Raw genomic sequence first — 15,395 nt, 5'->3', positions numbered from 1 at the left:
AAAGAGAAAAAGAAAGAAATCACACTGCTTGGCACCCAGGAAGGCCTCAGAAGGGGTGAAGTCCACAGTCATGTCCAATATCAAGAAAGAAAGCCCTTGGGGCCAACGCAGGGCTGGCCCCAGTAGGGTTCCCCATCATCTGCCAGGCCTGAAACCTGGCCCGGCAGTGGGTCAGGAGCAAGTCGATGATACCTAGGGGAATGCAGGCACAGCTGCCCTCTGGAGCAACCCCCAGAATGCCCCTGTGGCTGCACCAGGAACAGTCCCCAGAAACAGCAGCTAAAATACTGCTAAGGAGCTAAAACCAGAGTTCTCAGACCTAGAAGTCACGGTCACACAGAGACATGGTGCATCTGGACCACAGAGGCAGATGGTGGCAGAAAGAGCCTCAGTAGAAGCCCAGGGCCCAGGGAGGGTGGGAGGAAATGGAGAACTCAATACCCCAAGGCTGCCCCTTCTCAAAATTCCCTTCCACCTACCCCAAACATGGAGTCTCTTCTGCAGGCCTCACCTCTAGTCTTCTCAAGCCCACCCACCTGAAGGTCAAACACCTGAGCAACACAAACAATCCCATCGATAACAATAGGGGCAGGCACCCCCTTTGTTGAGCTCCTTGACCTGCTAATCTCAGCTCAGAATTGCAGCAACCTTAGGCAGACAGGGACCCTAACCTTAGCAGTCTATCTTCTCATTAAAGGCAACCTCATGTGACCCCTGATGGGAGGGTGGGTTTACACCATCCCAGTTGAGGATGATTACAGTAACTGCAAACACAGACAACAGTACTCACTAGATGCCAAGCCCTGTGCTACACACACTTTATGCATACTATCTTTAATCCTCATAACAACCCTTATAAGGCACGGGTTTTTATTATAATCATTTGACAAATGAGGAAGCGGATTCAGAGAGGTTAAGCCACTTGCTTAAAGTCACGCTGCTAGTAAACAGAGTCCAATCCTAGCAGTATAAAACTCGAGCTCTTCACCACTGTCGGAGGTTACTTTCTCTCGAGGTGCACAGCTCTATGGTCTCTCATACAGCTCTCGCTTCTCTTGGTCCGACCGACATTTCTCTCCCATACCCTCACACCAAAGCCCCTCCTTGATGTGCCTCCCCCACTGAGCCTCCAATGTCCCAAGTACCTCAAGGGCCACATGTCCAACTAAGAGCTTATTCTCTGCCCCTCCTCACCAAGTCCCTAACACAGTGAAGCTTCAGGGCCTTCAGTGAAGGCCCGCTCAACCACTCCGAGGAACCTGGACTCCTTCCTCTTCCTCTCCTTCACTCCCACATCCAATAAATCATTCTGTCCTGACAAGTGTACCTTCAAGATGGCACCATGCTACCACCTATCAAAGCCAGCATCTTCTCTCACCTTACTTACCTGCACCCTCTTGCCCCACTGGGCATCCTGTCTCCATCCTTTTCCCATAGCCACAGAGCATTTTCTGGAAACATAAACCTGACCACAGCACACTCCACCCTCCCTATCCAAGCTTTAAACCTTTGGTGTTTTCTCTCTGGGTTCTCAGAGTAAAATTACAGGTACTTAACAGGGCATTCAATGCCCTCTGTGATCTGCCACATCTCTGAATACTTCACAAGTGACAACACCTCCCAGTCTTTATTCATACTGGTTTTTATCTATCTCAAGTCCTTTCTCTCTTCTTCAAACTCCTACTCATCCCTCCAAACCTAGTTCACATCACTTCTTCTTGGTCTCCTCTGGGACTCACCTCACCCTGACCTCCGAACTCTCCCCCGTCTCTTGATGAACTCTTGCAATGTTCTAACCCAACTCAGAACCGCAGCTGCTTTAGTTGAGCAGATGCCTGAACCTTAGGGGTGGGCTGCCTCTTCTACATAGCTGTTAGTCCCAAAGGAAGAAAGGCAGCCGGGGCCGAAAGCGCCTACCCCGGGGTCTGGCACACAGTCAGCAATCAATGACAGGTAACTGAATTGCTTTTGCAATCCCATGGTGCAACCTGCTCCCCCAAGGACCACGAGCTTCTCGAGGGTAGGGCCCTGACTGCAAGCTGGAACCAAGCACACAGCAGTGTCAGTCACAAGGGAAGTGACTGCCACTGCTGACGATGCACTGCCACACAGTTCCCTTGGATTCTTACAACAGCCCTGGGACCCAGTCCGGGTTGGATTAGCTACCCCATTTTACAGGGAGTGAAATTGAGACTCAGGGAGAAAGGGGCCTCTTTGAGGCCTGAAGCTGGAAAGTGGAGGAGCCGTGGTGTGTATCACAACCCCTCTACTGCAGGAGGTCTGGGTCCCCTCCTCCCCGCCCCCAGGGAGGACCCTCAAAGCTAGACTCCCATAGTTCAGGCTGATGGAAAAAAGGGTGGACTGTGCCCAAACTGCCAGGGCTAGTATTTTGCTGCGTATCCATACACTTCCCAGTAAAAGATGTGTAGCTAGTTTCCGTTTGCTGCAGTCTAACTCTGCCCCGCCAAATTCCTTCACCAACACCCAACCACCCCCTCCTCTCTTGGCAGCCTTGTACACCAAGCCAACCCGCCCAGGGCACACAAAGCTGGATAAAGGGGAGGTATCAGTAGTTGCAAGAAGAAGGAAGAAAGGGAGGAAGGAAGGAAGGAATTATGTTAAAACAATTTTCTTGTTAAAGGAAAGAAAGAGGGAAGAGGAAGAGCAGCTGGAAAAGGAAACTATAAAGGAAACTAAAAAAAACACTATAAAGACATTTCAAATAAGAGACTGAGCAAGTAAAATGTGCAAGAAAGTGCATATACAAAAATACACAAGGATGACTGTGCATGTGCACAGGTATGCTGCGAGAGTGTGCAGGCACAGATTTCTTGAGCCCTGGCCGGCATGCGGGCCCAGGTATGCGAGAGGGGGCAAGAAAGCAGCTGAATAGGGAGTGTGTGTGGGGGTGGAGGGGGTGAGCTGAGTGTGGAAATGAAGGCAAGAGGGTACGAGAAAGTGTGGCCTGTGCCTGGGGCTGAGAATGTAGGGGGTTGTACTTGGGGAGTTACACCTGCTCCTTCTTGAAGCCCTAGGCTCATTCATATAATCAGTAAAAAAACAGGGATTTTCATGCTCCCTGAAGCAAGAGTTAATAAGGAGCTAAGCACAGAAATTTCCTTAGATAGCCTGTCAGAACTCTCTTCTGGATCCCTCAGATCCCCGAAGCCTCCCAAAGGATTCCCCACCAGATCTTCCCTTCTCAGCAGATTCCTCCCCATGAGCACCCGCCTGGAACCACCACCCCACATCCTTTTCTACGCCTCTCACCCCAGTGCACTTCCCTGCTTCTCAGGCCAGATCCGACACCAGATCGCTCTGGATCCCTGCCCCTGTTCCTTCAAAAGTGGAGCCTTCCTCAACCTAATCCAGCCTCCCGGCCCTGCCCTGTGGCCCCTCAGGGAGATCCAGACAACCCCCAGGCTGGGGCAGCCTCCCTCTCCCATTTCACAGCTCAGGCAGGTAGCGCTCCCCACCCCCAACCTGCTCCAACTCAGGGGCCGTGCACTGGGGGGCAGGGGGGCTTGAAATGGGGAGAAAGTCTAGCCCCTCCCCCTCCGGGGTGGAAGAACCAGAGGGGCAGCATTCCAGGGAAATGGGGGGGCGCCTAGCACAGAGAGTGCAGAGACACCAAGAGATGGGTGAGAGACAAGAGGCAGAGACTTAAGGAGGGAGACAGAGACCCAGGGAGAGGAAATAGAGAGACCCAAGCGGAGAGAACAGACTCAGGGACAGGGAACAAGACGACCCAGGGAGACAGAATCGAGAGACCTGGGGAGAAAGAACAGAGTGACCTGGGGAAAAAGAATGGAGACAGCTGGAGAGACCCTGGGATTGCAGGGGCGTGAGATTGGGAGGCACTGACACGGGGAGGCAGAGACGCCGAGGAAAACAGAAAGCAGCCGAGACAGAGACGCCGGCACGGCGATGGGGAGCCGGGACGGGACGGGACGGGACGCGGGGCGGCCACTGAGTGAACTTTCGGAGAGGGTCCGAGTGGCCACGTCCTCACGGGACAGGTCGCTCCAGGGCCTCCAGGGCGTTGCACCCGGTTGGGGGCGGGTACAGCCCGTTCGGCCCCTCCCCATCCCGTGCTCGCGAACGAAGGGGGTGGGGGGGCTTCAAACTCGCGCCCGGCGCAGCCCGGGACCGCACGTGCGCCGGGGCCGCGAGCGAGACCCGGGCGCGCCGGCTGCGGATCCCCCGCCGGCTGGGAGGGGGCGCCTGTGCGGCGGGGGCGGGGGCGCGGCCTGGACCCGCCCGGAGCCCGGGGCTGGGGGGTCTGAGGGCCGCCCCCGGAGCGCGTCCGCGCTAGAAGGGGGGACGAGGCGGGACCGATGAGGGGGAGCAAGAACGCAAACGGGAAACTTTGCGCTGGGTGGGGGGGGCGGGCTGCGGCTAAGGTGCGGTGGAGAGGGAGGGAGGCGGCGAGGGGCGGCGGGGAGCGAGCCAGCCAGCAGCGCTGGGGGCGCGTCTGCCGCGGGGTGAGCGGGGAGGAGCCGCCAGGCTGGGGCGTGGAGGGGGGGCTTCGCCGAGGCTGCGGGCGCGGCAGGTGGGGGCGCGGCCCGGCCTCAGCGGCGCCCTCGTCCCCCCCGGGACCGCCCCCAGCTCCGCCGGGTGGACTAGCGGGGAGGGCAAGGAGAGCGGGGAAGGGACGGGAGCGGAGGGGGCTGGTGGGGGGCCGGGGGGTCACTCACCGCCTATCCAGGGGCCGTCGGTCCGCATGTCCCCCCGCAAGCCGCTAGGGCCGCTGCTCCCACTCCTCTGCCGCCGCCGCCTCCACCTGGTCCCGCTCCCGCCACCGCCACCCGAGCTGGAGCCGGAGCCGGAGCCGGAGCCGGAGCCCGAGCCCGAGCCGGAGCCGAAGCTGGAGCCGCCGCCTCTGCCGCCGCCACCGCTCCCGCCGCTCCCGCGCCAGCTCCAGCCGCGCGCTCCCCTCGCGCTCGCGCCCGCGCCCCTGCCCCTGCCGTGCGCGCCCCCGGCGGCGCCCCTCCCCTCGTGCACTCTCGCTCGTAGAGCCGCGGAGCCGCTGAGGCCCAGACAGGCCACAACCCAACGCCAAGTCGAAACCGACCGGAACCTCAATATTGAACCCGAACCCCAATAATGAACATAGACAGACCAAACTCTGATACTACATCCAGATCCTTCTAGTGGCTCCCAGCCCTAGCATGAACCTAATACCACTCTAGGACCCCATTTCCTCCCCATACAGATCTGAACCTGATACTGAGCCCACACCTTGCCCTAAACCCAATATTGAGTCCAAAGCCCTTAATCTGCCCCCAAATTAGCACAAGTAGTAATTTTGTTGTGAACCTCTATACTGATCCCAAATACCAATTCTGACTCTAAATCTCTTTATTACTTCTACTTGCCCTAACCTTGATAGTGACGCTAGCACCAACGCTGGACCTTAAATGGAACCCTGTACTAATGCTCAGCCCCCAGTCCCTAAATGAACCCTAAAGTCCAAAAGCTACCTTGCTATGGACCCCAGTTATCTCTCTTCTGAACCCCAAGCCTTACATAAAACTCCAGTACTGCTCTCCCATTCCCAGATCAACACCAATGCACTCTGAATTCGATTCTCAATTCCAGAGTTGGGATTGGGTCACCATAAAAGGACCCCCAAACACAGATACTGACCTGAAACCCCACCCAAACTTGAGACCATTTAGGACCCTAAACCAACCCAGCTTTAATAATAATCTTGGAACCCAAGATAAGACTGGCTTTGCAGAAACTCCACACAAAGCCCCTTCATCCTCATGTTCACCCTCCACTTCTCTGACCTAGTGTCAACCCCAAGCAGAGACTGACTAATACCCCAATATTATACCAATTCCAGCTGTGAACCTTACATTGGCCTCGGAATTAAAGACATGATAATGCCCTCTAAATGTAATTTAAATGTCAGTACTGAGTTTCTGACTTCTCATACCAAACTCAAATAATGACCCTAGAAATTTCTGGGTGAAACCAATAACCTACCTGAAGATTTATTCCAAGACCTACTGATCAGAGGGATTTGATGAGCTTCAATCCAAGCGCCCCTGCCTCCAGACCCCGCCCCCACGCAATCCGTGTTAAAACCACTTAAGAGTCAGCCAAAGCCACACCAGCTCTTTCCTATCTACCCCACCCCTCCTCCCCCCGCCGCTTGCTAGGCTTCACCATGAAGGATGGGGGACCTACCCCCACTGCCCTGGGTCAGGTAACTGAGCAGAAAAAGAGATGAGGTTTCTCCTCTGTGGGGTTTCTTCTGTGGGGTCTTTCTGATAACCCTGTAAGTTTGGAGTCAGGTGAGAAATAAAATTTGGAGATCGTTGAGGTGCCTGGATTCAGGGATCACGTGGTAATGTGCAGGGCATGGTTGCTGTGGTGTTCAGGGATCTGGGCTGAGGAATCAGGTTCTGGTAACCACCTGATTCACTGCCTGTTTTTGTCCTGAACTTGAATTCACAAACAGTGCGTGTGCGCCCCCTGGCGTATGAGGAGGGGATGGGACTGGCTCCAGTGATTCTGGACAATTTGGTTTGGATGACAAACGGATCAAAAATGAATATTTCCAGTGAGTGGTTTTTCACCATTGGTAATTTTGGTGCACCACGGGGGAGGTATTGCAAATTTTATGCATCTTTAAGCATTTTTGCCTTTTTTTCCAGAACTTTGAGGATTTAGAGATTCCCTCTCGGCCCCCAAATTTTAAAAGTATACTTTTCAGCCAATTATTCCTGCCCATTGCTGAGTTATTAAAACAGTTCTTTTCCTTGGCTTCATTGGCCCACCCTCTCCTCACTGGCTACTGTCTCTGATTCCTTTACCACCTCGTCTTCTGCTCTTCCGGGACTCTGTCCTAGGCCTCCTCTTTTCTCCTGCTCTGCCCCTTTTCTCTGGATCATCTTGACCACTACCAACCATATGCTGATGACTTCCAAGTCTCTATCTCCAGTCTGGGCCGCTCCTGTGAGCTCCAGATCCATATAACTAAGAGCCTCCTCTGTCCCGCCCACCCCAGATCTGCTTACCTTCAATACTGCCCGTCTCAGGCAGTGGCATCTTCAGCAATTTAATCACTGACATGCAGAGACCTTCCCTCCTGCACCACTGTCCAATCAGTCATCAGTCCTGCAAATTTTGAAAAACAGAGACTAGAGACCATATGGCTCCATGAGGGACACATGCAGAGAGTTTCTGGCTTTTGGGTTTCAGTCCACACACGCACAAAGCCAAACTGGTCCTAACTTCTCTTGCATGCAGTTATAATATAATGCCCCTTAAGACTTGCTCTACTGGCCAGGCATGGTGGCTTACGCCTACAATCCCAGCACTTTGGGGGGCTGAGGCGGGCAGATCACCCGAGGTCAGGAGTTCGAGACCAGCCTGGCCAACATGGTGAAACCCCATCTCTACTAAAAGAAAAAAAAAATACAAAAATTAGCCAGGTGTGCACCTGTAATTCCAGCTACTTGGGAGGCTGGGGCAGGAGAATTGCTTGAACCTGGAAGGCAGAGGTTGCAGTGGAGATTGCTCCACTGCACTCCAGCCTGGGCCACAGAGCAAGACTCTGTTTTAAAAAATAAAATAAAATAAAAGACTTGCTCTACCTTTAGTGTGTTTTGGCACCTCAGAGCCAACTGTACCTGTTTGGAACCATTGTTTCCTCCAGGAAGCCATCCTGGCTGTCACCACTGTTTGTATCTGTGCCTATCTCCCTGACCTGTGGACAGCAGTTCCTTGCAGGCAGGAGAAATGAGTCCACCTTGTTCCCTGTCATATCCCAGTGGCCAGCACAGGGTCCTCACACACAATAGATACTTGATACATATTTGTTAAAGAATGAAGATTGACTTTCCTATCTGTGCTCAAGGAACCATCAGACATAAATGACTAAGTGAGGGAACAGCTCCCTGACCAAGTCTTAGAGCTCATCCAGCCCCAGTCTTCTGTAGCCCTGGCATGCACTAGAAGAGGGGCTCGTGGTGTTCGCTAGCCTGTGTGCCTGCTAGCCTGGGCCTTGGTAGTCCTGAAGCTCTGGCAGCCCTGTTCCCTCTGCCCCGCATTGTCAAGGCTACTGAGCACAGTACTGGAAGGTAGGTGAGCTGGGACCCCTGGCTTCCTGTGGTTGAAGTTAGCAGATGTGCTCACTGCTGTGCCAACCAGTCTCTTGCTCCAAACCCCACAGGGACACAGGGGTCTCAGAATCCTAACCCATTGGCGTCTGCCCTCTCATTCACCCACATGTGGCAAAGTGTTTGTCGAGGCAGGGCAAGAGAATGCCTGTAAGCAGCCTGCCCAGATCTCTGCATGTACGCCATCTGGAACTAGATACAAACCCAAGGTAATGAAACTAGAGGCCTAGGTGCCAAAGCCACATGGATGAGAAGCTCAGGTGGCCGGGCCTGGGAGAGCGTGATAGCTGCTGAAGGAGAAGAGCCAAGGCTCTGTCCAGTTTGCCAAACTGTGAGCACGGGGTCCACGTGGGGCTGCCCTGCTGCCCTGCTCCTGGGCCTGGCGGGGAGGGATGTCCTTGTGCTCATCTGTGAAGGCCGAGTGGCACCATGTGGTCATTGTGTGTCTGCTGTGTTCCAGCCCCAGGGTGCAGGGTGAGGAGAGAGCCAGATGTCAGCTCCCACTCACTGCTCACCCTTTGTCCAGGTCCTGGGCCAACTGGACACTCTCTGCAACTCATGACGTAAATACACCTTTTGGTCATCCCTTAGTTGGTCTAAACCAAATTAAATTCAGCTTGAGTCTCTACCCATCAGATCAGCAAGATTTCCCTATCACTCATGGCTGCCCTTCAGCTCCCTCCGATCATCCATGAACTCCAGGGGTTTGCACAATCCCAGAGATGGTCAGTCCGTGCTCCACAGCCTTGCAGAGAAAGGTGGAAGGATTTTTCAGGCTGCTGCTGCTGCTGTTGCAGACATCAGTGGTCACAGTCACAGGGCTTCCACTATTTTTTGCCCATCTGCAGGGCCTCACTTGTCCAACCTGGTCCTTGGGAAGATAACCCTCTACTCCCTCCATCCCAGCTCTTTCAAGAGGACCTCTCCCACAGGCCCCCGCAGTTGCAGCCCTTAGTCCTTGGCTTTCGAATCGCATGCAGCCACTTTCTTCTGGGGGCAGGTCAGGGTGGGATGGAGAATGCCTGTTCCCCTGCCCCTCTCTTCCATGCCAAAGCATCAATTCCCCAAGACACAGTGGTATTCTCCCTCTTAGCTCAGACACAAGAACTACAAAACGGCCTATTTACTTTCTCAGGTATGAGGTGGGAGAAAAAAGGCCCAGGACTTAGAACACAAAAGCTTGACTAATGCTTTTTTAATTAAAAAAAAAAAATTTTTTTTGTAGGGACAAAATCTCATCATGTTGCCCAGGCTGATCTCGAACTCCTGGGCTCAGGAGATCCTCCAGCCTCAGCCTCCCAAAGCGCTGGGATTACAGCAGCCATGAGCTGCAGTGCCTGGCCCTGGCTAATGCCTTTCATTTCTTCCGGCTGAGTCACTATGGGCAGGGAGAAATGATACAGGAGTTAATTTCTCAATGAACACTGCTTATGTTTCCCGGAGAAAACAGAAGCCACCACAGGAGGACTCCCTCATCTCCCACTACCAAATCCGCAAACCCACACACCTCTCCTCCTTCCGCTCTGTCTCCCCTGTGCTCAGGGTGCTCCGGCGCCTCCAGGCTTTGCTCTCTATTCCCCGTCCACTGCACCCTCTTCACTATAGCATTCCCATCTGCCCATGCGCATGTCTTTCCCATCCTAAAAAAAATTCCCTCCCTTGGCCCCACACGCCTCTCCAGAGTGGGAGAGACTCAAGTGCCTCTCTGTTCTCCTTCCCCACAAACCCAAAAGCCATTTCTACAGGACGCCTCTATTCCTCCATCTCCTGCTCGCTCCCCAACCCACCACAACCCTGCTTTCTGGCTTTCACTGATGTTGCTCTTTTTTTTTTTTTTTTTTTTTTTTTGAGACTGAGTCTTGCTCTGTCGTCTAGGCTGGAGGGCAGTGGCGCCATCTCGGCTCACTGCAACCTCCACCTCCTGGGTTCAAGCGATTCTTCTGCTTCACCCTTCCAAGTAGCTGGGATTACAGGTGCCCGCCACCACGCCCAGCTAATTTTTGTCTTTTTAGTAGAGACGGGGTTTCACCATATTGGCCAGGAGTTGGTCTTGAACTCCTGACCTCAAGTAATCTGCCTGCCTCGGCCTCCCAACATGCTGGGATTACAGGCGTGAGCCACCACGCCTGGCCTGATGTTGCTCTTGATATAATGACTCTTCCCCTCCATTTTGCCAAAGCTAATGGCTGGGCCTCTGTTTCCAGCTTAGTGTACTCCTCAGTGGCCTTTGCTACTTCCTGCCATCAGCCTGGGTTACTTCAGTGCCGGTGCAGACAGACAGCTCCTGGACCTCTCATCACAATGGCCGACCCTTGAAGGCTGCCCAGCCTACTCTTTCTAAGCATCCCACGCTGGGTCCTGTCCTCTCCCAAAACTGCTCCTCTCCTGCTCCCACCTTGCTCCCTCTACCTCGCGATCACTGCTCCGTCTCATCAGATCTCTCTGCTGTTGACCTCGTGTTCTCCTAGAGAGCTCTCCTCAGCTCTCTCCTTTTCACTTTTCTCCTGGTCCAACTTAGATGCCAAGGTCCAGCATTTTAATAACACTCTTGTCAATAACCCAAGCCTCTTGGCCTCTCTGCCTTTTTATCATATCTGTCTGGCAAAAAGCCAGCTCCAAGTGAGCCCTCCTGTCTGCCGTCACAGGGCGGTGCTCAAGCAACCACATGACTCCACAGGTCAGACAGATGTTCCCTTAAAGCAGGGACTACATAGGGGCCCTCTGCGCAGTTCTCCAGTCGGCTTGGAACCGCACTCTCTGTAACGGCTATTCCAGCCCTCCCCATTCTCTTTACACCTTCAGCCAGCCCATTTTCCCCTCGCTGTCAGATGGGACCTTGCCACATCTTTATAGAGAGGATTAAAGCCACCACAGAATTTTCCTGGCTCTCCACTAGCACATTCACACACCTCCCCACATCTGCCCTCTCTCCTGCTGCCTTACAGGAAGCACCCTCCTCCTCTCTCAGGCCAGTGTCTCTGCCAATCCTAGATTCCCTACCCACTCCTGCTTCTCAGGCCCCTCACCTATCCATTGTCCCCTCCTTCCCTGAGCACCACCCCCAACCTTCAACTGGAGCCATCCATAAACCTACTCCCTGCATGCTTACTTTCTCCTCCATTTCTCCATCAACTTTATTTATTTATTTTATTTTTTGTAGAGGTGGGGTCTCACTATATTGCCCAGGCTGGTCTCGAGCTCCTGGCTTCTAATGATGCTTCCACCTTGGCCTCCCAAAGTGCTGGGATTACACATGTGAACCACAGCACCTGGCCTTTTCTTTCTTTCACATTTAAAAAATTTCAATAGCTTTTGGAGTACAAGTGATTTTTAATGGACGAATTATAGAGTGGTGAATTCTGAGATTTTGGTGCATCCGTCATCTGAATATCGAACATTGTACCCAATATGTATCCCTTACCACCGCCATCCTCCCACTTCTGAGCCTCTAAAGTCCATTATACCAACCTGTATGCCTTTGCGTACTCACAGCTTAGCTCCTGCTTCTAAGTGAGGATGTACGGTATTTGGTTTTCCATTCCTGAGTTCCCGGCCTCTCTTCTTTCTTTCTTTCTTCCTTTTTTTTTTTTTTTTTTTTTTTTGACAGAGTCTCGCTTTGGCACCCAGGGTGATGCGATCTCGGCTCACTGCAACCTCCACCTCCTGAGTTCAGGTGATTCTTGTGCCTCAGCCTCCCGAGTAGCTGGGACCACAGGTGCATGGCACCATGCCTGGCTAATTTTTTTTTCCTTTTTTTTTTTTCTTTAGTAGACTTAGGGGATTCGCCATGTTGGCCAGGCTGGCCTTGAACTCCTGGCCTCAAGTGATCTGTCCGCCTTGGCCTCCCAAAGTTGCTGGGATTATAGGCGTGAGCCACCATGCCCGGCCCCAGCCTCTTCTTCCATAAGAGTGTTCTGTTTGCCATTATGGCATTCCTACTCACTTCATCCAACATTTGGTCAAATCTGGCTTTTACTATCTCTGCCCCCAACATCTCCCCAAAACACAATGTCTGTGCTATGATCTCCATGTCTTAAAATTTGAAGGCCAGTTTTTTTTTCGGTATTCATTTTCTTAGACCTCTTGATTACTGCATTCTTCAAACCCTAACTTCTTTGGCTCCCTTGACACCATACTCTCCTGGTTTGCCTCTTAACTCCTTGGTCTTCTTCTCAGTCTCCTTGGCGGGGTCATCCTCCTCCACTCAATCCATCAAGTGCTCCTGTCCCTCGACGCCCATGCCTTGGCCTTTCCCCTTCTTACTGTGGACTCTGTCCCTGGTGATCTCATCCATGCCTACAGCATTGAGTACTGTCCATCTGCCGATGATTCACACCTTTATGACTCTTACCCAGGGAACCTCTTGTGTAAGCCCTTGATGGGGAGGAGCCCAGCCAGCTGCCTAGTCAACATCTCCACCTGTGTCCCAAGGGCACCTCAGCCCCAGCATGCCCAAGATCTCCCACCAGATCTTCACTCCCTGATTCCTTTCTCGAGTTCTCTGTCTGAGTCAGTGGCCCCACTGTCCATCTATAGGCAAGCCAGAATCCTGTTCATTTTACCTCCAGAGCACCTCTCTAATCTGTACCTTTCTCTTCAACTCTGCTGATGCCTCACTGGTCCAAGCCACCATTAACTCTTATCTGGACCTCTGCAGCGCCTCCTCACTGATCTCTCTACATCTGCTCTGCCCCTCCCCCATCTTATCTCTGCGCTGCAGCCGCAAATGGGGTTATGTCACTCCGCCACGAAAACCTTCGAATGGCTTACATGGGGCTGGATTAGGAGCCAGCTCCTCCACATGGATGAAATGCCCTCCCTTTGCCTACCTCCCCACCTCATCCAACACAACGCTTCTGGTTCAGTCCTCTGCGGTGGCGCCAGCTTCCTTTCAATTCCTCAAACATACTGCATTTCCCCCTTCCCTCTCCCCATTCTTTCTAGAAGACTTTCCACCCCACCTCCTTCACATGGTAACTCATTCTTCACTTTTGGTTCAAGCATCACTGCCTTGGGGCAGCCTTCCCTGACCCTTAGTCTGAATAAGTACAGGGCCCTGTTGCTGTCTGCCAGAGCATTCCTTTATACTTCTTGTTACACATTTAATGGATTGATGCCTGTCATCCATGTCATTCACTCAATAGCTATATGTTAAATCCATATAAGGTGTCTAGAGTAATGTCTGGCACCCAGTCACTACCCAGTAAATGTTAGCTATTGTTATCCTCAATATCTGGAGACCAAGGAAAGGCAGAAGAGCCCACAAAGGAGAAAAAACGAACAGTCACTAGGAAGGAAAGAAGAAAAGCAGGGGAGAGTTACTCTTTCACTCATTTCCTCTATTAGGCTCACCCTTCTGACGCCGCTCCTCCTATGGCACCTGGAGCTCTTTTCCCAGATATTTGCGTGGCTGTCTCCTTTTCATTTTTCATGTCTGTGTTAGGTCAGGTTTCCCAGAAGAAGACCCTGAGATGAAGTGATTTATTAAGCAAGGGTTCCTGGGGGAAACTGGCAAAGCAGAAGGGGAAGCCGAACAGAGAAGGGGAAGAAGCCAAGCAAGGGGGGATTTCAGGCCATGTTCTTGGAAGAGTAGCTTCAGCCTGACCTCAGGGGGACCCATGAGTGGAAATGTATGCCTCAGTGTTGTCCCCACCCCTGCCAAGGGCGTGAGCCTTCATACCTCCTAGCCTCCTTAGTCATCTGTTGAGGGCTACCAGTGGGGCTGAGAATGGCGGGTGATGAGTACACCCTCTTCGGGGACTTTCTAGCTTGCATGCAGACAGAGTGGCTCCAGGAAGTCGAGGACCGTCCTCCATAAAAGAACTGGTGCTAGCTGCTGGAAGGCAAGGCACGCTGAAGGTGGGGCTGCGTCTGCCTCTCACCCCCTCACCAAAAATGGTGGAAGGGGATCTGAGGGGTCTATCGTGTCTCCACTGAAATGTCACCCTCTCAGATAAGCCTTTGCTGACCAGCTGACCACCCTATCTAAAATAGTTTTCCATCACTGCGACGGCACTCTCTTTATTTCCTTCACATAATTTAGCACAATCTGTAGTTTGATTTCATTTTTGTTTAACAACTGTTTCTGCTGCTAGACTCTAAGGTCTAGCAGGGCAGGAATCTACATTACTTTATTCCTGCCAGATCTCTAGCACTAGGACAGTGCTTGGTATATAGGAGGTGCTCAATCCATCTTTTTTGAATGAATGCATTGGTGAATTAGGCACATGCACTGAGCGCTCAGCTGGGTGAGAGGCAGGTAACGCCAGATGTATGTATAGGGGGCTAGCTGCACCGCGCTGGCCAGAATGTGGCCCGCACAGTTGTGCTTGTGAAGGGGCCATAGAGGGTCAACTCCTCTCTGAGGCAGCAGACATCACCCCGAGGCTGTGTATCTCTCTGGGTCCCCAGCTCTTTGTGCAAAGTGGGATGGAGCCCATGGGGATCCAGGCATATGGGCAGTGGGATTCAGAAGTATAGGGGAGCTTCTGGCAAGGCGCTTGAAGCTGCATAGGCGCATGTCATGGACACCTCCCCACACACATGCCACCAACACCACCCAATGCCTCAGGCTAAACTGGCCTCAGTGAGGGCAGACTAGGCTGCGAGAGGGCGGCCTTGCATTTGGGAAAATATGGCCCTGGCTCTGAGTAAGACCCATGGCACTTATTAGCTGTGTGGTCTTGGACTTCTCTAAGTCTCAGTTTCCTCTTCTGTAAAAAGGGGATAATACTGACTTTGCAGCATTATAGGAAGGACATGAAATTGTGTTTGTAAAGAGCTTCGTCAGAGCCTGGCACATTGTAGGTTCTTGAAAATAGAAGCTATTTGATGATTATTAGAATTAGCATAATCAAGCCTCTAATAGCACCAGTTTGGAGAACTATTTAAAAGCTAATCCCACCAGGCCCCATACCCTGGTAATCCCCGACTGTCTGAATGAAAGCCTGTTTCAACATCCATCCACCTTCTTCTGCAGTTGCCCTCCCCCATCCAGCTCCCCACTGCTCCTTCCTCAACCTCTTAAACTCTCAGCCCCTTCAGACTTCCTCCCTGCAATTCCTGCCTAACTGAGGACACAGCAGCTGCCTCCAGGGGAGGCCACCATTCCACAACCACAGAGTAGTGAGGCAGAGCAGCATCTTTCTCACTCTCAAAAGCCACTCCCAGATCATTATTCCTTCAGCCTCATGGAAAAATCCCTGCTCATTTAAGGCTCACGCCATCTGGCTCTTGCAATTCATTTATTCAACTAAGATT

The 15,395-nt window shown here is 52.6% G+C and overlaps 1 protein-coding gene across 29 annotated transcripts in view, besides 6 other annotated features; it reads right to left on the bottom strand.

Moving 5' to 3' along the window:
* PTPRF (protein tyrosine phosphatase receptor type F) overlaps positions 1–13,737 on the bottom strand; it is a 101,616-nt gene extending 87,879 nt beyond the window's left edge. For 23 of the 29 annotated variants that reach the window (XM_005271079.4, XM_006710797.4, XM_006710801.4 and 20 more), the window contains exon 1: positions 4,698–4,905. The gene's annotated coding sequence lies outside the window, so the exon portion shown is untranslated. Of the gene's footprint in view, positions 1–4,697; positions 4,906–7,031; positions 7,132–9,642; positions 9,752–10,530; positions 10,697–13,487 lie in introns of those variants that run through there. The other 6 variants (NM_001329138.2, NM_001329137.2, XM_006710795.4 and 3 more) reach the window with 4 other exon arrangements.
* Positions 48–910: an enhancer, noted in NCBI's record as "H3K27ac-H3K4me1 hESC enhancer chr1:44000549-44001411 (GRCh37/hg19 assembly coordinates)". NCBI's record gives its function as "activates a minimal SCP1, AML or CMV promoter by ChIP-STARR-seq in primed H9 embryonic stem cells {active_cell/tissue: H9 hESC(primed)}" and the evidence as "EXISTENCE:reporter gene assay evidence [ECO:0000049][PMID:30033119]".
* Positions 1,857–2,356: an enhancer, noted in NCBI's record as "H3K4me1 hESC enhancer chr1:43999103-43999602 (GRCh37/hg19 assembly coordinates)". NCBI's record gives its function as "activates a minimal SCP1, AML or CMV promoter by ChIP-STARR-seq in primed H9 embryonic stem cells {active_cell/tissue: H9 hESC(primed)}" and the evidence as "EXISTENCE:reporter gene assay evidence [ECO:0000049][PMID:30033119]".
* Positions 2,357–2,858: an enhancer, noted in NCBI's record as "H3K4me1 hESC enhancer chr1:43998601-43999102 (GRCh37/hg19 assembly coordinates)". NCBI's record gives its function as "activates a minimal SCP1, AML or CMV promoter by ChIP-STARR-seq in primed H9 embryonic stem cells {active_cell/tissue: H9 hESC(primed)}" and the evidence as "EXISTENCE:reporter gene assay evidence [ECO:0000049][PMID:30033119]".
* Positions 3,487–4,059: an enhancer, noted in NCBI's record as "H3K27ac-H3K4me1 hESC enhancer chr1:43997400-43997972 (GRCh37/hg19 assembly coordinates)". NCBI's record gives its function as "activates a minimal SCP1, AML or CMV promoter by ChIP-STARR-seq in naive H9 embryonic stem cells {active_cell/tissue: H9 hESC(naive)}" and the evidence as "EXISTENCE:reporter gene assay evidence [ECO:0000049][PMID:30033119]".
* Positions 4,125–4,194: a silencer, noted in NCBI's record as "silent region_786". NCBI's record gives its function as "represses an Ori minimal core promoter by ATAC-STARR-seq in GM12878 lymphoblastoid cells {active_cell/tissue: GM12878}" and the evidence as "EXISTENCE:reporter gene assay evidence [ECO:0000049][PMID:35858748]".
* Positions 14,018–14,518: an enhancer, noted in NCBI's record as "H3K4me1 hESC enhancer chr1:43986941-43987441 (GRCh37/hg19 assembly coordinates)". NCBI's record gives its function as "activates a minimal SCP1, AML or CMV promoter by ChIP-STARR-seq in primed H9 embryonic stem cells {active_cell/tissue: H9 hESC(primed)}" and the evidence as "EXISTENCE:reporter gene assay evidence [ECO:0000049][PMID:30033119]".

This window comes from Homo sapiens, chromosome 1 (assembly GCF_000001405.40).
Source record: "Homo sapiens chromosome 1, GRCh38.p14 Primary Assembly".
NCBI classification, from domain to species: Eukaryota; Metazoa; Chordata; class Mammalia; order Primates; family Hominidae; genus Homo; species Homo sapiens.
The sequence above is the reverse complement of the archived record's forward strand: the minus strand, read 5'-3'. Positions and strand labels throughout refer to the sequence as shown.